Raw genomic sequence first — 22,631 nt, 5'->3', positions numbered from 1 at the left:
ATCAAATGTTTAATTTTGTTTAATTTTAATATAAATAGCCACACACAGCTAGTGGCTGTTGTACTGGACAGAACAGCTGTAGGGCAATGAAGCCACATCCTAGATATCACATGCTTTAAGAATTTTAGGGACCTAGAATAGGAAAGCAGCAGGTTTCTGGAGCTAGTTTATCACCCCAGGCATTTGCCCCTTCCTTTCCTCACCCAATAACTCTATCTCAGTTCAGAGCTTTCTTGGCTGACACCAGCGCTCCTACAGTGACCTAATTGTCCTCCCTGGCTTCATCTCTCTGCCTTCCAGACCATCCTTCTGACTACCTCCACACGAATTTTCCTAAAACTCCATTTTGATCAAGCCACCCCATTAAGGTCTGAATTCTCAATCTTATCCCAAATTCTCTAATTTTTTTCTCAGTATTTCTCAAATACAAACCCTTCTCTGCAGCAGCCACCACATTGTATGCTTTGGCAATCCCGTATCTGGTAGTTTCTTTTCTTTTCTTTTCTTTTCTTTTGAGACGGAGTCTGACTCTATCGCTAGGCTAGAATGCAGTGGCGCAATCTCAGCTCATTGCAACCTCCGCCACTTGGGTTCAAGCGATTCTCCTGCCTCAGCCTCCCAAGTAGCTGGGACTACAGGCATGCACCACCATGCCCAGCTAATTTTTGTATTTTTAGTATAGACGGGGTTTCACCATGTTGGCCAGGTCAACAGATCGAGACCATATCTGGTAGTTTCTAAAAGCATCCTCACACTAATTGTGTGATATTACGTGAGTTAAACTCTGAATTTCTGTTAACTCACCTCTAGAGTGGAGTAATGCCTTGCAGATATGTTTTGAGCAGAAAGTGAAAGAATATATATTATAGTGCTCAGGACAGTGCTGCCATCTGGGAGATGTACAATAATTAGTTAAACCTCACTGACTATTTGAGTGAAAGGAGCAGAGGAAAAGTAGACTCGGAATGTGTATGAGTGCTATTGTGTATAGTTTGCAATTTTTTGGTAATACAGTGGTCTTTATGTTTTATGAAAACACAAAAGAGACTATGTTTTCACAACTCCACATTTAAAGAACCTATGGTAAAAATATGTTTTTATAAAATGAAATAATGGAAGTTTTTGTAAATTCTCACCAGTTAAGAGCCATAGAATCTTTCTGGGGCTCATAAACCAAATGAATTTTATTCAGTTCAGTTTTATAATTCTATCTACAAATAATTCTTGCATGCCTACAAGGCATAAGTTCTCAGGAATGTGTACTCAATAGCAACCAGATGAAAGCACCCAGGTTCTGCTCATCTGCACCAGAGCCCCAGAGCATGTCCTCAGGCACCACTCTATCTTCCCGGTATTTAAAGGGAGACCAGTTTACAGAGTCCTGAGCCAATAAGCCCCCAAACCTGAAGAAAGCAGATTAGTTTTCATGGAGACCTTGGAGACCTATCAAAGGGGATCCATTGTGTTAGATTTAGAGGATTCTGGGAAGGTTGGAGGACTATCTATATATCAAGTCTGTGACTGTCTGCCAACCACATACACTTTCCCCATGTGGACATATGTATTTTTAGGTTTGTTAGGCCAGGGGTTCCCAACCCTTGGGCCATGGATGGATACCAGTCTGTGGCCTATGAGGAACCAGGCCACACAGCAGGAGGTGAGCAGTGAGTGGGCAAGTGAGTGAAGCTTCATCTGTATTTACAGCCGCTCCCCATCACTCACATTACTACCTGAGCTCTGCCTCTGGTCAGATCAGCAGCACATTAGATTCTTATAGGAGCACAAACCGTATTGTTAATTGTGCATGCAAGGGATCTAGGTTGCACACTCATGAGAATCTAATGCCTGATGATCTGTCACTATCTCCCATCACCTCCAGATGGGACCATGTAGTTGCAGGAAAACAAGTTTAGGGCCCCCACTGATTCTACATTATGGTGAGTTGTAAAATTATTTCTTTGGATATTACAATGTAATAATAATAGAAATAAAGTGCACAATAAATGTCATGAGCTTGAGTCATCCCAAAACAATCCCCATCTTCGGTCCATGGAAAATTGTCTTCTGTGAAACCAGTCCCTCATGCCAAAATGGTTGGGGATCGCTATGGTAGGCTATTTAATAGTGTGTTAAAAGCTTACCATTTTCAGTGAATTGCCTCCACGTATTTCCCTATTTCCTGCCACCAAAACCAAACAAACAAATGAGCGATAAATTTTGAAAAGGAGTTCTAAACTTTGTGGAAAGAGTAACTGACCCCAAGTGCTGTTTATCCCTCTGGAAGAAAATAGCTGATCAAGAGGTTCAGAGGTACAAGGATGCAAGCCAAGCAACATGATTACCGCCATCACATCCTTTCCTGCAAAGTTCACTGTGCTTCTGCCCAAACGTTATTCCTACTTTATATAAAAATATATGAATACAGAGAAAGCCACTTTTATCATTCTCCATTACAATTTTTTAATGTCTCTTTCTTTAACAGGTTGATACGATTGCTAAAAGAAGGGCTGAACTTATATTAGAGAGAGATAAAAAAAGGAGGGAGGTAAGTAGTTTTGTTTTTTTTTTCAAAACAGGGTCTCACTCTGTTGCCCAGGGCAGGGTACAGTGGCACAATCATAGCTCACTGCAACCTCGAACTCCTGGGCTCAAGGGATCCTCCCACCTCAGCCTCTCAAAGTGCTAGGATTACAGGCATGAGCCATCACACCCAGCCTTTGCCTTCTGGCTTAAGACACTCTTGTAACAGCTTTTCAAGGCTGACCCTCTTGTAACCTGATTTCCATCTGTATAAAAATGTCCAGCCAAACAAGGAGAAGAGAAAAAGAGGAATATCAGAAAATACAACTTGCTACAAGTGCAACCACATGTCACCCTGGTGTGAATATGCTGGACTTCCGTACAGAGGACTGCTGATATTGTACAGTGCAACTGCAACTGCAACTGCAGGCACAAAGCATTGCAGAAGCGGGGCCAAAGTAATTGTTGCTTTGTCAAAACAAAATATTCACAACCAAAAGTAGATAAGAAAAAACCATTGGACTGAGAAAATTATGGCACCATGTAAGAATAAGAACCCTCCTCTTAATTATTTGCCTCGATTTTCATTCATTTATTCATTCAGTCCATCAGCAAACATTAATTGAGCTTTGTGTCTGACACTGTTTCAAATACTGGCAAATCAGCCATGAGCAAAACTTACAGAAATCGTAGCCTCATTATAATGCTCATTTCTCTCATCAAACATGTTCTGAAAGTTTGCTCTGTTTAAGGTGTCATGCTAATGTTTAGGATCAAAAAGATGTCCTAACCTGGAATTAAGTACAGTTAACTACTTTAAGCCCTTGGGAGTCCCTAGTGGTCCCCTTCTGAATCACTTCAAATGTTTCAGCAGTGAAGGAGTCCAGGCTTTGCAGTTAAACACACCTACGCAGTATCCCTTCTCCAGTTCTCACTGACTTTGTTCACTGCTCTCCAGTGCCTGGTGGAGTGCTGACACATGTGACATTCAACTTCAGTTGTTTCGCTGAGGTTGTATAACATTGAGTAAGTCACTTAGCCTCTGTAAACCTAGGGCTTTTTATTGTAAAATGGGAAAAATTAATACATTTAGTTTCCCTAATTAATAATAATTTAATTTCCCTTTGCTACTCTTCAGTTAAATCTTCTTTTCTTAAGAATTAATTTTCAGGATAAACTTTAAATGTTCTTTATAATTTTTTCATTTGTTAACATTAGAATGGTGTGATTTCTTCTGATTTTTCATTCGGAAATTCAATATTCTATGTAGAGGTTAAATAGGATTTTGTAAGTCAGCTCTCCTGAGACTTCATGTTTGTAAAACTGTCTGTGTATCCCACAAAACTGATACAAACAAACTCGCAGCACAACTCCTGAGATGTTTGATGAATAAAAAATTAAAACTGTATGTGGGGTTTTTTTTTTCCAACTCCTTTGATGGAAATTTTATATGTCCTGCTACTGACTCAGACAATAAAGTAGACAAAATATAGCATCTCAGGGATGAGTTAGTGTGCTTGTTACTATTGGTCAGTGTGCCACCCTAAGTGGCATCCATCCCGACTCCACATCTATACTGGAGCTCACTTCCATGAACAGATCCAGGGGGGTTTCTCACATTTGCCTTCTTATGCAGAATATGCAGTTCTGTGACTTGCCTTTTTCAGACTAACTGGGGAATCCCTGGCGGAGAAAGCCCTTCCCAGGTTTGTCTTCTTGCCCTAAACAAAATCATTGTCTTTACTGTCTTTTTAGCACTGAATGGGACATTTCCAACATTAGAAATCACTTCAATATCCCAGTCATTACTTGCATTAATTTCATAGGGAAATGTCGCCATCTTGTGGACCTGTAGTCTCAGAATGTGACTGTAAGGCAGCCCCTGGCCTTGCTTGTAATCCTCCCTCTCTTCCTGTCCCCTGGCTCCGTCTCTGGGTCTCCATTAGGTGTTGGGTAGCCACTGGGAGGTGAAAGCAAGGGAGGGCCAGGACAGGAAGCCCGGGGAGCAAGTGAGCACAGTGTCAGACTACGCCTCGGAGAAGAGTAATAGAGACACATTGTTCATAGGTACTGAGGGAAGGCCCAAGTCAGGGTCCACATGAGGTTGAAACAAGGGTCTGGACCAAGTACCAAGCCAAAACCATCTCCAGGATCCTCTAGGGAGAAGACAGAGTGTTTAGACCCAAAGGTTGATACACAGAGGGCTCTTCAGGTTGAAACAGCAAGCAAAAGTGTGCATGGGTATACGGGTTGGAGACAGATTCAAAGCACTGAAAACCAAGTAGTTCACAATAGCTGCTCCACAGGCAGTGTCAGTCACACCACAGCATAATAAAGAAATTTGGGATCTAGATAATGAGCACCTGTGTCAGGAAGCCCTGAGAACTCTGACAGGTCTTTTACTTCTTCTTCCATTTCTTCATGCTTTCCTCTTCCGTCACTTCTCTAATCATAAAAAAATCCATCGCTCTCCTGGCACAAGCTTCTGTCCAGATGTAGCTTCCCCTGTCTTCCCCTACCAGTAGACAGTTGTAACACAGCTTACCCCAAATCTAGTCCTGTCTCTCTGAGACTATGAATTTATTTGCTTTCTGCTTGTCCCCTCTGTTTTCTGTTTCTCTGTTCCCCTTTTCCGGCCTTCCTTGGATTATTTGAATATATTTTAGAAATTCATTTTAATTATCTATTGCCTTTTTTTCTTTTGAAAAGTGTGTAAAATTTTTATTTTATTTTTTCTTTTTCAATTTGTATTTTAGGTTCAGAGGGTACATGTGCAGGTTTGTTACGTGGGTAAATTGCATGTTGCCGGGGTTTGGTGTACAAATAATTTTGTCACCCAGGTAGTGAGCATAGTACTCAATAGGTAGTGTTTTGACCCTCACTCTCCTCCTACCCTCTACCCTCAAGTAGGCCCCAGTGTCTTTTGTTCTCCTCTTTGTGTCCATGTGCACTCAAAGTTTAGCTCCCACTTATGAGAACATGCAGTAGTTGGTTTTCTGTTCCTGTGTTAACTTGCTTGGGATAATGGACTCCAGCTCCATCCATGTTGCTGCAAAAGATATGAATTCATTCTTTTTTATGGCTGCATGGTATTCCATGGTATATATGTACCACATTTTCTTTATCCAGTCCACCATTAATGGGCATCTAGGTTGATTGCATGTCTTTGCTATTGTGAGTAGTGCACTGCATGTGTGCATGTGACTTTTTAGTAGAACGATTTCTATTCCTTTGGGTGTATACCCATTAATGGGATTGCTGAGTTAAATGGTAGTTCTAAGTGCTTTGATAAATCTCCAAACTGCTTTTCACAGTGGCTGAACTAATTTACATTCCCACCAACATTTCCTTTTCTTCATAACCTCACTAACATCTGTTATTTTCTGACTTTTCAATAATAGTCATTCTGACTGGCATGAGATAAGACACCACTGTGTTTTCGATTTGCATTTCTCTAATGAGTAGTGACATTGAGCATTTTTTCATATGCTCGTTGGCTGTGTCTATGTTTTCTTTTAAGTGTCTGTTTATGTCTTGTGCCCATTTTTTAATGGGGTTGTTGTTTTGGGCTTGTTGATTTGTTTAAGTTCCTTATAGATTCTGGATATTAGACTTATGTTGTACGCATAGTTTGCAAATATTTTCTCCCATTCTGTTGGTTGACTGTTTCTTCTGTTGATAGTTTCTTTTGCGTGAAAAAGCTCTTTAGTTTAATTAGGTCCCACTTGTCAATTTTTGTTTCTGTTGCAATTGCTTTTGGAGACTTTGTCATAAAATATTTGTCCAGAACCAAAACAGCATGGTACTGGTACAAAAACAGATACATAGAGCAATGGAACTCAGAAATAAAGCTGCACACCTACAATCATCTGATCTTCGACAAGGTCGACAATAACAAGCAATGGGGAAATGACTCCCTAGTAAATAAATGGTGCTGGGATAACTGGTTATCCATATGCAGAAGAATGAACCTGGACCCCTTTCTTTTACCATATACAAAAATCAAAATGGATTAAAGATTTAAATGTAAGACCTGAAACCATAAAAACCCTAGAAGAAAATCTATTGCCTTTTTAAGTATAACTCTATGCTTCGTTTTTTAGTAGTTATGCTAGAATTACAAACACATCCTTGGCTTTTCACATTCTACTTAGGGTCAATATTATTCAATGTAATATTGTAAAAACCTTAGAACTGTCTAGCTCCATTTGCCCCACCCATCTCCAACCCACTAACATCCTTTATGCTCTAGTTGTGATGTGTTTTACAACTGAATACATTACAACCCTCAAAAGAAATAGTTCTAATGTTTATATTAAATAGTCACATGTATTTTCAAAAAATTAATAGGAAAGTAAGCCTTGTTTTCCATTTATCCAGATATTTACTATTTCTGATGTTCTTCATTCATTCCTCTGGTATGATGGAAATCAGAAGGATGGGAATGCTGGACATCTGAATTATTGTTCACCTATTGTCTTTCTTTTCTCTGTATCTTTGCTTTTCAACAGTTTGGTTATGGTGTACCTACATATCATTTTCTTCATATTTAGTTTGGAGTTCACTAAGCTTCTTTAATCTGTAAATTTGTGTCTTTCACTAAATTTGGAGAAACTTTAGACATTATTTCTTTAGACATTTTTTCTGCCTCATTTACTCTTTGTCTTCTCCTTATAGTACCCCAGTTATACATAGGTTAGACCTTTGCTGTTGTTCCACATGTCCTGGGAACTTTGTTGATTTTTTTCCATCTTTTTTCTCTCTCTTCTTTAAGGTAAATAGTTTAAGCCCAACCAACAATTTTTTTAATTTCAAATATTGTATTTTTAGTTCTAAAATTTCCATTTGGTTTGTTTCTATATTTTCTATTTCTCTCCTGAGATTTCCTATCTGTTCATTTATTATAAGTGTATTTTCCTTTTCCTCATTGATCATTGTAATAATAACTGCTTTAAAAGTTCTTGTTTGGTGATCCTAACACCTGGGCTGGGTATTTGACAATTATCTTTCTTTATGAGGATGGGTCAAATTTTCATAATTCTTCATATTTTGAGTAACTTTGGATTATGTTCTAGAATTGTAAATGTTATATTGTGGGGATTCTGGACTTTGTTATGTACCTCCAAAGAGAACTGAGGTTTTTGTTTTAGCAGGCAATTAACTTGGTAAGATAAACTTTAAAATTCTGTCATGCCTGCAATGAATGGCAGCTCAGTGTATACTGTTCTTGAACCGCCCATATGTACATGGTTCACAGGCTAGCCAGAGTCTTGGACAAATTGACTTTGGTATTTCCTTCTCTGGCTCTCTCATCTCTGGCATTTACCCTCACTCTCCAGTGGCCCTGGTTTTGGCTCCTTTCTCTGGTTGCTCCATCCAGAAAGTCAGTTGGCTTTCTACCAAAGTTTTAGTCACACCAAACCACCACTACTCTGAAACTGCCCTCTCGGCAAATGAACAAAATCAGAAAACTCACCCTATGCCAGTTGCTTCCTCCAAATTTTGACTGCTCTTCAAAATCTGCTTTTCTTGCTCCAAAGACCTCAAAAATAATAGAGAGAGAGGAGTGTTGTTTACAGTTTATTATTATCTGCTAGAGGTTAAATAAACTTATTTCATCATATTTGAGGCAGATCTTCAAGGCCATGAAGTTTAGAATATACATCTTCCAACTTGAGGACTAAGAGATGCGTGATGTCAGGGAAAACAACACTGTTCTACAAGATTAAATGACCATCTACAGAAAAATGAAAAAAAAAATTTCCCTAGGAAGAATTAACCTGAGAGTCTCTTAGATGATCTTTTGTGAAGATTTTTAGGATATTTTTAGGATTTTTTTAAAATCAACATTGTACTACAGGTGTGAGCCAAAGCAAAGTAAGAAAAAGAAATAGCATACATATTAAAAAGTAAGAATAAAACTCATTATTTGTATATAATTTGAATATCTAGAAAGTGTAAGAGGGTAAATTGCAGAAAAATTCCTTAAGGTCACCTCTACCAGCCCTTCACTTAACAGCGACATTTGCCCCATAAAGAAAAAAGGTAAATCATTTCTAAAGGGATGAAATAATCTGTCTGGAAGATTCTAGGTCCACAGAATGTTGGTTGATACCTTTTATTTTTGGGGCAAGATCCAGGCTTCCTGCATCTTCTCATCTTCACATCTTAAATAGAAGTGTGATACAACATTACCTGCTCATATACAGACAGCATGCAGTTGCTCTGAACTAATCAATTTAATCCTTCATTTATAAAAATGAATAGCCAACCAAGGGTTACCATATACTTGAGGAAAATCACCAACAAAAGGAAAAACCAACATAAACAAACAGAACAATTGATCATAAAACAAGTGGACAACCCAGGAAACATCATTAAATATTAAAAGAATTTCACTTTCTCTCAGAAAATTCAAGAAGAAACTTGTATCCATAAAACAGGAAGAAGATGCTATAAAAAGTGAGAGAACAAAAAAGAGTTAATGAAAACTAAAATAAGTTAAAAGTTAAATTGAGAAAAAGGAAAAGTCCAAGAAGTTTCTCAAATATAAAACAAAGTGCAAGAGATAGGAAATACAAAAGAAAAAAACTGAAGATCTATGAGGTCAATCCAGGAAGGTCAACATCCAATATGCATTTCAAACAATGGAAACAGAAAATAAAGAAGGAAATATTCTAAGAAATGTTAGAAGAAAAGTTCCCAGTATTGAAGAGAGCAGGAGGTCTTCAAATTGAAAGGGCCCATGGAATGCCAAGCAGAATAAATAAAAAGAAATGTGCATTAGACACATCCTTATGAAATTTGAGATTGGCGGGTATAAAGAGAAGCTCCTACTTGTTTCTAAAATTTTAAAAGGATATCTACAAAGGAATGGAGGTAAGACTTGTATCAGACTTCTCAGTAACAATACTGGATAGTAAAAGACAAAGACAACACTTGTAAAATTCTAAGTGAAAATGGTTTTCAGCCTAGAACTCTGTACTTAGCCAAACTGTTTATAATGAGAGAAATGAAATGGAAAAATTTTCAGATACTTAAGATCAGTGAAAATTAGCCTCTTTTATATTCTTCCTGAAAAGAGTAGCCAATTGATATGGTGAATAACACTGCTTCTGCTCACAAAATAAACAACAATAAAACAAACGAAAAAACCCTAGAAACATGGGGGTGGGGAGAGACAATAAGAGTATTATTCAAATATGGGGCAAATGTAATTGTAGCATGATTTTGAATAAGAAGAAAAAATGATGCTTGGTCTTGATACTAGAAACATTCTACTTAGAATAGTGCATGTTTCTTGATACAGAATTGCATTCCTTGTATTACTAACTCCAGCTGTAGTGAATAAGGGTTATGTAATTTAACATAGCAGGTGCTGTTTATTGGATTTCCATATTCAGAATCAATCAAATGCTGTTTGCTTACTTTTAATTTTTAGAATCAATTTCTACATGAAGCACCAAATACTGATCTCCAATTATAGGACAGGGACATAAATGTAGTAATATTGGAGACAAAATACTTAGAAACTGAAGAAAGGGAGACTTGGAAGGAAGAGTAAGGACATCTTCTTGATGGGGAATCAAAACAGACATCTAAAGAGGACAGCTCAATAAAACAGAGATTTGGAGATAATATTTAAAGTTATAAGCACTCGATTACAAAATAAAGAGCAAAAATATGACTAAAACTGGGCAACAGGCAGAAAGAGGAGTGATGTAAGTTAGCTAAATTCCTCATCATCACTGGCAGGAAAGAGGAACCAAATATCACAAGGGTCAAAAGAGATTACCGTTTACTGTTTGTTTTGTTACTTTCTAAACTGGTTTCTATAGAAAAAACACACATTTTTAAAAGAGAAGAATGATTAAATGAACTGTGATACTATGAAATACTATGTGGCTGTTAAAAATATTAAGATGCAAAGAACAATCAGTGAAGAGAAAGAAACGCATCCAAATAAGAAAAGAAGTTAAACTATCTCTTTACTGACAATATAATTCTATACCTGTAAAACCCTAAAGACTCTGCCAAAAGGTCACTGAAACTAATAAACAACTTCAGTAAAATTTCAGGATACAAAAATCAATGCACAAAATTAGTTGCCTTTATACTAGTAACATTTAAGCTTAGAGCCAAATCAAGAATGCAATCCCATTTACAATAGCCACCAAAAGAATAAAATACCTAAGAGTACAGCTAACCAAGGAAGTGAAAAATCTCTCCAAGGAGAACTACAAAACACTGCTGAAAGAAATCAGAGACAACACAAAACAAATGAAAAAACATTTCATACTCATGGACTGGAAGAATCAGTATTGTTAAAATGGCCATACTATTCAATCTACAAATTCAATGGTATTCCTATCAAACTACCAATAACATCCTTCACAGATTTTTTAAACTATTCTAAAATTCATATGGAACCAAAACAGAAGCCCCAAATAGCCAAAACAATCCCAAGAAAAAAGAAGCCAGAGGCATCACACTACCTAATTTTATACTCTTAGATTACAGTAATCAAAACAGCATGATACCAGTACAAAAACAGACACATAGACCAATGGAACAGAATACAAAACTCAGAAACAAAGCTATACACCTACAACCATCTGATCAACAAGGCCAACAACAACAACAAAAAATAATAGAGAAAGGATACCCTATTCAATAAATGGTGCCAGGTTAGCTGGCTATTCATATGCAGAAGAATGAAACTGGATGCCTACCTTTCACCATATAAAACAATTAACTCAAGATAAATTAAAGATGTAAATGTGAGACCTCAGACTATATGATTCCTAGAAGAAAACCTGGGAAACACCATTCTGGACATTGGCTTTGGGAAATAATTATGACTAGGTCCTCAAAAGTAATTGTACCAAAAACAAAAATTGACAAGTGGGAGCTTAGCTCCCACAAGGACCTAAGACTATGGAGCTTCTGCACAGCAAAAGAAACTATCAACAGAATAAACAGGCAACCTAAAGAATAGGAGAAAATATTCACAAACTATGCATCTGACAAAGGTTAATATTCCAAATCTATAAGGAACTTAAACAATTGAACAAGCAAAAACCAAATAACCCCATTAAAAAGTGGGCAAAAGGTGTGAACAGACACTTTTCAAAAGAAGACATACATGCAGCCAACATCTGAACAAATGCTCAGTGTCACTAATCATCAGAGAAATGCAAATCAAAACCACAGTGAGATACCATCTCACACCAGTCAGAATGGCTATTTTTTTTTTTTTTTGAGACAGGATGGAGTGCAGTGGCACCATCACAGCTCACTGCAGCCTCAACCTCCAGGGCTCAAGCAGTCCTCCTGTCTCAGCCTCCAAGTAGCTGGGACTGCAGATAGAAACACAGTTAGCTATTTTTTTATTTTTTACTTTCGGAGAGACAGGGTTTAACCATTTTGCCCAGGCTGTTTTCAAACTCCTGGTCTCAAGCAATCTGCCAGCCTCAGCCTCCCAAAGTGCTGGAATCACAGGTATGAACCACCATGCCTGACCTAGAATGGCTATTATTAAAAAGTCAAAAAACAACAGATACTAGTGAAGCTGCAAAGAAAAGGGAATACTTATACACTCTTGAGGGGAATGTAAATTAGCTGAGCCACTGTGGAAGGCAGTTTGAAGATTTCTCAGATAACTCAAAACAGAAATACCATTCGACCCAACAATCCCATTACTGGGTATATATACAAAAGAAAATAAATTGTTCTACCAAAAATACACATCCACTCATATGTTCATCATAGCCCTATTCACAATAGCAAAGACATGGAATTAACATAGGGGCTCATCAGTGGTGGACTGGGTAAAGGAAATGTGCTACATATGTATAATACCGTAGAATACTACATGACCATAAAAAAGAACAAAGTCATATCCTTTGCAGCAATGTGGATGCAGCTGGAAGCCATTATCCTGAGCAAATTAACACAGGAACAGAAAACCAAATACCCTGTATTCTCATTTATAAGTAGGAGCTAAACACTGGGTACTCATGGACATAAAGATGGCAATAATAGACACTCAGAACACCTAGAAGGAGGAGGGTTGGGGAGAGGGTTGAAAAAATAACTATTGAGTACTATGCTGACTATCCGGGTGACACAATCAATCATACCCCAAACTTCAGCATCATGCAATATACCCTTGTAACAAGCCTGCACACGTACCCCGAATCTAAAATAAAAGCTGAAATTTTTTTTAATTCATTGAAAAAAAATTGAGATGTATGTTCTGATATGGAAAGAAATTTAAATATATTGCTAATTTTTTTAAAGTTGTAGAAAATAAAATAATCCCATTTATGTTTAAAATATGATGTAATTAAATATATATATAGTAAAACATTTGTAAGGATCCTAACCAAATTGTTAACCAAAATTAATTCCAGGTAGGAGGGTAGAAATAGAGATAGGAGTGTGATGAAAGACTTCTACTTTTTAATCTTATACAATACTATATAATTTAATTTCTTTATAATAAAAATGAATTTCTTTTTAAAATTGTACAATTTCAATTTTTAATAAAAAGTTGTAGGAGCTATTCAGTGGAGCCAGAGAGGTGAGAACAAGTTCATCTGGAACTAAGATGTCCCAGCTTGTAGTGTAGACCTATCCCACTATACTTGCAAAGATCCTTAGAAAATTAAATATCAGGATAGAAAATTGACAAGATATAATAAAAAGGAACAAGTCGTAAGGAGGCTAAATGATCTGAAACTTCTTTAAAACGAACCAGAACTGAAAAACCCTGCTCCATAGCCAAGCTCCTTTTGGAGAAAGGGGAGCTTGGGCAGGAGCAGGAATGGGTCCTGATGCTCTCATCTTCCTCCCTGCCCTCACACACCCGAATCCCATCTCCAGGCACTTTTCACTAAACTAAATGACCAGAGGCCTGGTCATTTAGAAAGATTAGGAAGTAGCCAGAAGATTGCAGGCAAGAGACAATGTGAAGGCAGACAGTGGAGAGGGGCCACAAGGGAGGGAGTGTTGAGCATTATTTAGGATTACAGTCCTTTGTAACCCCCCATCCCTTCCCACCCAGGACTCTCATCCTGGGAGTCTAGATAACTCCCAGGTTTCAGGCTGGAGGGCAGTTCTCCAACTGAAACAAGGAATACTACAGGGAGAACGGTGTGGAGGCAGTGCAGAGGATGATTATTATAGGGTTCAGTTTTGTGCAAAGTGAACTATAGCACTTAAAGCCTACACAATACGACTTAGTACCAATATCCTGTCATGGTCTTTAATAATCATTAATGTATTATTCTCGTTTTCTCAGATAGGCTATAGCCTCCGAAAAGGCATCTGCTGTTCTATTTGTACACTGCTTTACACAAAGTGACAATAATAGCTATAAGAGCATAATAATAGGTAACGTTCACATACTTACCATATGCCAGACATTTTTCTAACGGCTTTGCATGTATTAACTAATTTAATGCTCCCAGCAACCCTGTGAGATACTTTTATTATTCTTATTTTACAGGTAAGGAAACATCTTGTCCCAGTTAAGATAGCTAGTGTTTTATACTCTTTGAACTGCATTAAATATTGTTCCTGAAGACCATCAAAAACATGTAACATTTTGACAATCATAGACATAAATAACATTTAATATTTTGTCTCTGTATTTATTTATGGGACCACTTTGGGGCCAGAGTCTTGAAAGTATTAAAATTCTGAGTACCAAAGAAATTTTTAAACAATTTTTCCAAGATGGCAGGTTGGAGGCAGTGTTAGCATGCCTCCCCAACTTGGAAAGACAAAATAGGGTGTAGAGATACACACTGAACGTTTTTCAAAGAAGCAACACAGGAACTTAACAGGAAAACTGAAAGAAACCACAGACCCTTTGAAAGAAGCAGTGGGCTATAGCCTACACCAGGAGCCAGGCAGAAAACTGAGACAGTGAACCCGCTCCACATTGAGCACACTGCTACTACAACCAGCAACTGAGAAAGCCATCATCCAAAGACTACCACCAAGGAACTCAAGCACAGAGGCTTCACCAATGAAGGAACGCAGAAGTTGCAAGCAACTATAAACATAAAGTCACATCCTCAAGGAGAAAAAAAAGAAATTTTTAAAAACCAGTCAAATCCAAAATAAATTCAAAAATAATTAGAAGAAATAGTCTACCTAAATGAGAAGGAACCAGAAAAATAATTCTGGCAACGTGACAAAAAAGTGTTCTATAACACCCCCAAAAGTGTCAGATATTTAAAACCTTATTGCGTTACTAGATGAATGTCAACATGCAATACCAACCAATATCGAGCCATTACAAAATATTCCAGATGATTTGTTAATAGTGTCTTTTGTTACATATTTTATATGTATAGTAAAAGGGAATATTTTCTTCCTTAGAATGTTGTTAGAGATGATGAAGAGATTAGTGAGGAAGAACTTGAAGAAGACAATGATGATATTGAAAACATCCTTGAAGATGAGTTTCCAAAAGATGAGGAAGAGATGAGTGGCGAGGAAGATGAAGAACAGGAAACTGATGCAATTGAGCGCCTGAGAGGTGAACTAGGAGAAAAATTTGAAGCAGATACACATAATTTACAAATAATACAGGTTATTACTTTTCCTTTGCTTTTTATAATTCAAAAGTAATATTTGAGAATCAGACTAAAGCAATTTAGTTCATGCCATTTCTTTAAACATTTAAAAAATGTATATTTTAGGGCTGTATTTCCTTTTATCGGTATCATTTAACAATTATGCAATAAGTCCATAAATTAAGAGCAACGTGGAAGCCACAGAGGGTCAGAGTAAGTTTAGTCACCAACATGCAGCCACTTGGAAGCTGAAAAATATTTGTGTTCTGGACTGAAGTAGTCAGTCACCAGCAGTGTCTACATGCTGTGACTAAATACTACCAGCCTTTTTCTCACTAAATATATTTGTTTTTATGACTTTTCTTATCAGGATGAACTTGAGAGGTATTTGATACCAATAATTTCCATTAATGGAGCTCGGAGAAATCACATTGTACAATATACATTGAATATGAAACTGAAACCACTGGTGGAAAATCGTGCAAGCATTTTTGAGAAATGTCATCCAATACCAGCACCCCTTGCCCAGAAAATGCTCACCTTTACCTACAAGTATATAAGCTCATTCGGCTATTGGGACCCTGTAAAGGTAATTTCAGCAAACGCACCTGAAAGCCATGTTCCTTATTTATTTTTTTCAAAGGTATGTCTTTTTTAAAGGAAAAAGACTGGATAATTTCAAAAATTGTAAGTATTGTGTAGTAGTCTCATCTAGCTATAAAAATACTTTGGGATTTAAAATGGAATCATTAAACTTTCAGCTTTTCTTTTATCACCAACTGTGTAACATAGAGCAGACACCCCTACCTCCCCCTGAGTTTCTCCTTATCTCTAGCATTTACTCCCATCCATGAACTTCACTCTAGCCCAAGAATTATAATGTTGACACTACCATTGATCTGTAACAACTGTCTTGAGGTAGCTCTCAGGGAGGAGCAATATTGCCATACTGTTTCACACCTACTCTGTCAAGTTCAGGGATGGCTGACACTTGCCCATCTGATGCTATAAAAAGATATTCAAACGTAGCATTGATCAATTGCCCAGTCTTCATCATCACCAGTGCAAAGATGGGGCACCACTCCTCCAACTTCATTCCTACCCACACCTTAGGTTGCCTTTTATGGGTATTTTTCCCTTTCATGATAGCTCTTAATGTTTATGTGAGTGGGATTTGAACTACACAAAAATATAGAAGAGAACCCAGTGGGATTTGCCCTACTAGTATACCTCTAAAAGATAACCCAAGAACCCAATCGTATTAGTCATCTCTGGCTGCCGTTACAAAATACCACTTGGTAGCTTAAACAACAGAAATTATTTTCTCACAGTTCTAAAGGCTAAAAGTTCAAGATCAAGGTGCCAGCAGGGTTGGTTTTTCTGACAAGGCAAGACCTCTCTCCTTAACTTGCAGTTGGCCACCTTCTATCTGTGTCCCCACGTGGCCTTTTCTGTGTGCCCACCCTGATGTCTCTTCCTCCTCTTGTAAGGACACCAGTCCCACCAGATTCAGGTTCCATCCTTCTGACTTCATTTAACCTTAATTTCCTCCTTTATTAAAGGCCCTGTCTTCAAATATAGTCACTTGGGGTGCTAGGGCCTCAAACAGAAATTGAGGAGGTAAGGGAGAAACAATTCAATCCATAACATCACCTTAGGAATGGACCTCTTTGTGAGGATGAATTGGCCTGTGAATAAATGCAAACAACCTTAGGCTGTTTGACAGAAACATTCAGTATACACTAAACACACTATAAATGAAGTAGAAGGACTATAATTGTCATAAACTGAAGGCCAATTAAGAACTATTGCATTCATTACATACGGCTGTAAAATAATGTGTACTTTTCCACAGTTGTTTAATATTAACCTTTGATTATAATTAGTTTTCTTATTCTGTAAGGAATTTTTTTTTCTTATGTCACGAATTGTTTTTTTCAAATATGTTTCAGGGAAGTGCTGTAAAAATTCAAACTAACTTTCAAATTCAACTGTGTATATGTTGCAGCTAAGTGAAGGAGAGACAATCAAGCCAGTTGAAAATGCAGAGAATCCAATTTATCCTGTAATCCATCGTCAGTATATTTATTTTTTATCTAGTAAAGAAACAAAAGAAAAATTTATGAAGAACCCAATCAAATATATCCGCCAACCCAAACCTAAGCCTACTGTGCCCATTAGGATTATAATTGTGGGGCCTCCAAAATCTGGGAAAACTACAGGTGAGCGTATGTTTGCCTTTGTTTTCCTCAAGCATAAAAGAATCTGCTTGTACCCAATGCACATGGCAGGTCAATTCACCAAGACACTGGGTTGCAGCAGAAAAAGACATTTAATCGTAGGGTGGCTGAGTGAGGAGACAGGAGGAAATCTCCAATCCGTCTCCCTGAGGAATCTGGGGCTAGGGTTTTTAAGAGTTTTGGAGTGGGCTGAATTGAAGTGCAAAAATCATTGATTGGCTGAAGAATGCAGGGTGAAGTCATGGGACAGGGAGATGAAGAAACTGACTTCTCCTGCTGATTCGGTGGGGGTTTTAAACCTCCTGTTGGTGTCAGCTATTCTGCTGGCATTTAGGTTCTGCTTAAGGAATTCCTTAACAATAGCCTTATTATTCTAACATCAGAGATCCTATCTATCTTAAACAAAAGCCTTGTGCATCTGACATCAGAAATCCTATTTATAGGAATGATGGGGATGCCAGTGGTCAGTAACTACTGCTATGTGACTTTCAGTTACAAGGAAGTGGGTCAAAGGTGCAGCCTGATTCAGGCTTATTTTAACTGTATTTCTGTCTAGAATTCTTGTTAATCCTGTGAGAATGACTGAAAACTAGTGCCACTTCTTCAGAAAACCAACTATCAAGACTGACTCAAAACGAGATAGAAAACCTAAATAGACCAATAACCATCGAAGAGAAGGCATTCGAAAATATAACCCAACTCTGAAATGGCCCAGAATCAAATTGTTTTAGACAAAAATTATAGGAAATTTTCAAAGAACTAAAAACTCAAGAGATAATGCCTGTATTTTTATAAGCTCTCCCATAGGCAAGGGGAAAGAGTAAGTTTCCCAAGTTATTTTTATTTTCTTTTTTATTAAGGAATATGGTTCATACAGTCAAAAAGGCATATAGGATACAAATCCATTTTTTAATTAACATGACCCTAATATCAAAACCTAACCAAGACAATACAAGAAATTACAAACTAATATTCATAATTATAGTCAAATATGTTAAGTATATAAAGTATATGAAAATATTTTATAAATATAATTTACTATACTAGGCACAGTGGCTCATGCCTGTAATCCCAGCACTTTGGGAGGCCAAGGTGGGAGGATTACTTGAGCCCAGGAGTTCAGGACCAGCCTGGGTAACATAGTGAGACCTCATATCCATAAAAAAATTAAAACATTAGCTGGGAATGGTGGCACATGCCTGTAGTCCCAACTATTTAGGAGGCTGAGGTGGGAGGACCACTTGAGCCAAGGAAATTGAGGCTACAGTGAGCCATGATTGTGCCACTGTACTCCACCCTAGGCAACAGAGTGAGAGCCTGTCTCAAAACAAGTAATAATAGTAAATCAATTATCTTAATCATTTCTGGAAAGGCATTTGATAAACTATATTCCTGTAATGTTTTGTGTAACTTTGGACTTTAAGGTAAATAGTCCAAAACTTGGTTGGTTGTAGTATTTCAAGATGACATGATAACAACAAGAACAGTGGGTGGTCACAATGAGAACAGAATGGAAAGGGCAGATATAGGATACATTTCCAAGGAAAACAATAAGTCTTAATGACTGACTGAATAGAGAACAAAGAAGAGAGATAAGGGAATTTTATGTTCCAGCTCTTCAGATGAAAAGTTTATTTTGGCTTTATAAAGTTCTTAACATGACAAAAGAGTCTATAATTGTTACAGGAAAGGGGTCCAGAACCAAACCTCAAGAGAAGGTTCTTGGATCTCGTGCAAGAAAGAATTCAAGGCGAGTCCATAGAGTACAGTGAAAGCAAGTTTATTAGGAAAGTGAAGGAATGGCTACTCCATAGACACAGCAGCCCCCAGGGTTTCTGGTTGCCCATTTTTATGGTTATTTATTGATGATATGCTAAACAAGGGGTGGATTATTTATGTCTCCCCATTTTAGACCACATAGGGTAACTTCCTGATGTTGCCACGGCATTTGTAAACTGTCATGGCACTGGTGAGAGTGTGGCAGTGAGGACAACCAGAGGTCACTCTCATTGCCATCTTGGTTTTGGTGGGTTTTAGCAGGCTTCATTACTGCAATCTGTTTTATCAGCAAGGTCTTTATGACCTGTATCTTGTGCTGACCTTCTGTCTCTTCCTGTGACTTAGAATGCCTTAACTGTCTGGGAATGCAGCCCAGTATGTCTCAGCCTTATTTACCCAGCCCCTACTCAAGATGGAGTTGCTCTTGTTTGCACGCCTCTGACATAATCATATCCTAAATGTTCACAAAGATAATGATATTTTCCAAAGACAGCAGAACGTTGACATGCAAAATAAGATCCCACATCCAGAGCACAAGGTGAACATGTAGATTACCTGATATCTCATTTTTTTGTTGAAATGGTGGTTGATTTTTAAATAAGGTGTCAAATTTTAGGAGCCTAATTATTGTTAGAACTTTAAAAAAAACAGATTTCGTTCCAGCATTTGTGCAAAGCTGAAGTTATATGCTCTGTGGCTCTCATAGGAACTTCTTTATTGGGTGGTCCTGATGGTGGTCCCTGGTCAATCATCGTCCTTATGGGATGAGTAGGGTTCTGAGTATCCTCCACCCACTGCTATCTCCACACAGTGCTCAGGCAAGGAATATACACACAACAGAGCACACCCACATTTACTAGCTACTAGAAGCCATTTGTCTGTTGTCTCACTCAGGAGAAGCCAGTGTGAGTCTTCTTTCAGCCAGTGGCAACATCTATGTAACCTTGGACAAATCAGTTCCCCTCATCTATAAAACTGGAATTTCAATATCCATTCCACCCACCTGATGAAATAGTTAAAAATATCAAATAAAGTCACAGAAGAAAAATTCCTCATAGGCTGTAAGTCACTATTAAAATGTCAAGTGTGCCATTATACATTTTAAAAATTATTTCCTAGAGGATTAACTGAGATCTAACTGTATAGGGTATGCTATGCTGGTTGCATCATGGAGTCCATAAATGGACAGAAAGGGGAATGATACAATTCAGTGAAACAGGAATATTATATTGTTATTTGGGGCATACTACCAGATAGTAAGAGTACATAAAAGATGACTTGCAAAGCTCTCAAAAATTTTGCCACCTCATGCAGAAAAAAGAAAACCCTTAAAATTGGTTTGTTAAGGAAAAAAAAAAAAAAAAAACAAGCAGATTTGGTTCATTAACCAGATCTATCAGCCACATACCTGAAGTACTGTTAATGACTGACCTTTGACAGTTATTAGTTCTGTAAAATAGGGCAATTTTAATTTTTGAAATTTCATTGAGAAATGTGAAAATTAGCTTGCTGTTGATATCATTAGCCAGAGTCTAAAACTAAGGTGAACTGATAAATTTGTGAAATGAAATAAATTTAGAGTTTTGTTTTTTACTATCTATTGGGTACTACTGTTCTGGTATCTTTGGGTTGGATCTTTTCTGGCTTGAAACCTCTGTGGCTGCAGCACTTTTGCCCAAATTCTTGTCCTGCATCCAGGAAGAATGAGGTAGGCAGACAAGTGAAGAGTGAACAAGACAAACATGAATTGAGTGTTGTAGCAGCTCAGAGGAGACCCACAGTGGGTGACTCCTCTACTTAGGCAGGTCATCTGTCCAGTGTTCAGTTCTCAGCAGAGAAGAGGCCCTGGAGAGGGTAGCTCCTCTCTGCTACTGGTTGTCCTGATGTCTGCTGCTCTCAGCAGAGAGGAGGCCCTGGAGAGGGTGGCTCCTATCTGCTGGCAGGTCATCTCTGCAGCTCTCAGCAGAGAGGGTAGTTCCTCTCTGCAACTGGTTGTTCTGTCATCTCCAGCTATCAGCAGAGAGGAGTATCCTCTCTGCAGTTGGTCGTCCTGTCCTCTCCAGCTATCAACAGAGAGGGTACTCCACTGTCAACAGAGAGGGTACTCCTTTCTGCAGCTGGTCATCCTGTTATCTCTCTGCCCTCTTCATCCTCTGGTCGTCCTCTCCCACGCTCTGGCTGAGCCCAGGGCTTTTATAGACCTCAGAGGGGAGGAAGTGCCTGCTGATTGGTCCATGGGTGGCCCTGGGTAGGCCCAGAAGAGGCACCACGAGTCCCCACTCCTGTCCACAGACCGGCATCCCAGCCCCCAGCCTTCAGGCCCTCCCTGGCCTGAAGCTGGGGCCTTACTGGGGACCCACCCCCTTCTGCCCAGGAATCAATCTGCCAGGAATCAATGGCCCCTGGGGCTTGGCCCCAACCCCTGCTCAGAGATGGGAGTAGGGCCAGGAGCAGAGAGAGGCCAGGCAGCGGGAGCAGACACCCCTGAGCCTGCAGGGGTTGGGGAGGTTCCCAGGCCCCTGTGGATGCAGGCTGCAGAGATGCAGAGATGCCTGGGTCCTGCACCTGGGAAAACCCCCCAAGCTGCACCCAGGGAGCTCCCACCCCACCAACTCACAAGGGGCAGGGTTCCTGCTTGTCCGCAGCTCCTGCCTGCTCCATGGAGCAGGAGGCCCAGAGCTGCAGCCGTGGGTCAGGTGGCTGCAGCTACACCCAAGAGGGCAGGTCTTACCTGCTCCTGGCTGCCTCCAAGAGCACAGGGAGGCTCAGACCCATAGCCGCAGTTTAAGTGACTGTAGCCACACCCAGGAGGATGAGGCTGCTGCCTGCTCCATAGAGCAGGAGGCCTGGGTCTGCAGCATGGTTTGGGCAGCTGCAGCCAGTGTGATGGCAGCAGCCACTGCCATCACTATGTTTGCTACTTGGGGGACAGGATCATTAGAAGCCCAAACCTGAGCATCACACAATATACCCATGTAACAAAACTGCACATGTCCCCCCTGAATCTAAATCATTTAATTTAATTTAAAAGTTTTATGTTTTTCAGTTGCCAAAAAAATTACAAGTGAATATGGGTTAAAGCATTTATCAATAGGAGGAGCTTTGCGTTATGTACTAAACAATCACCCGGAAACAGAGCTGGCACTTATGTTAAATTGGCATCTTCATAAAGGAATGACAGCACCTGATGAACTGGCTATTCAAGCCTTAGAACTTTCTCTGATGGAAAGTGTGTGCAATACTGCAGGGTAAGTGAATGGGGTGAGAGGATGGGACAGAGGGAGTTAAATCTTTCAAGAAACTGCTCGCTCGTGATTTAAAACACTTACATGGGGCTTAAAGCTCTTATAAAGGGTGTGATCTACTTCTCTCAAACTCTGGGCACCTATATGGTTACATATTTGAATTTTCTGTCAAGCAAAAACTTGGCTTGAAAATTCACATGCCAGATTAGCAGGCAGGCCCCTTCACTCTCTCCAGCAACCCCTGAGTTGTCCAAAAG

At 38.8% G+C, this 22,631-nt stretch overlaps 1 protein-coding gene across 19 annotated transcripts in view, besides 1 other annotated feature; it reads left to right on the top strand.

Annotated features, from left to right (window-relative positions):
* Positions 1-22,631, top strand: part of AK9 (adenylate kinase 9) — a 198,348-nt gene that overhangs the window by 159,647 nt on the left and 16,070 nt on the right. For 14 of the 19 annotated variants that reach the window (XR_942337.3, XM_047418304.1, XM_011535552.3 and 11 more), the window contains 5 exons: positions 2,483-2,545; positions 14,914-15,126; positions 15,481-15,699; positions 17,119-17,332; positions 22,161-22,377. Coding sequence is in view for 18 of the 19 variants with exons in the window: in XM_047418304.1 (XP_047274260.1) it covers positions 2,483-2,545; positions 14,914-15,126; positions 15,481-15,699; positions 17,119-17,332; positions 22,161-22,377 (926 nt within the window). In the remaining variant the exon portion in view is untranslated. Of the gene's footprint in view, positions 1-2,482; positions 2,546-2,804; positions 3,929-14,913; positions 15,127-15,480; positions 15,700-17,118; positions 17,333-22,160; positions 22,378-22,631 lie in introns of those variants that run through there. The other 5 variants (NM_001145128.3, XM_006715376.4, XM_047418307.1 and 2 more) reach the window with 3 other exon arrangements.
* Positions 17,427-17,932: an enhancer, noted in NCBI's record as "OCT4-NANOG-H3K27ac hESC enhancer chr6:109834827-109835332 (GRCh37/hg19 assembly coordinates)". NCBI's record gives its function as "activates a minimal SCP1, AML or CMV promoter by ChIP-STARR-seq in naive H9 embryonic stem cells {active_cell/tissue: H9 hESC(naive)}" and the evidence as "EXISTENCE:reporter gene assay evidence [ECO:0000049][PMID:30033119]".

Source organism: Homo sapiens, chromosome 6, assembly GCF_000001405.40.
Source record: "Homo sapiens chromosome 6, GRCh38.p14 Primary Assembly".
NCBI classification, from domain to species: Eukaryota; Metazoa; Chordata; class Mammalia; order Primates; family Hominidae; genus Homo; species Homo sapiens.
Note: the sequence above shows the minus strand (reverse complement) of the source record. Positions and strands in the feature narration are given on the sequence as shown.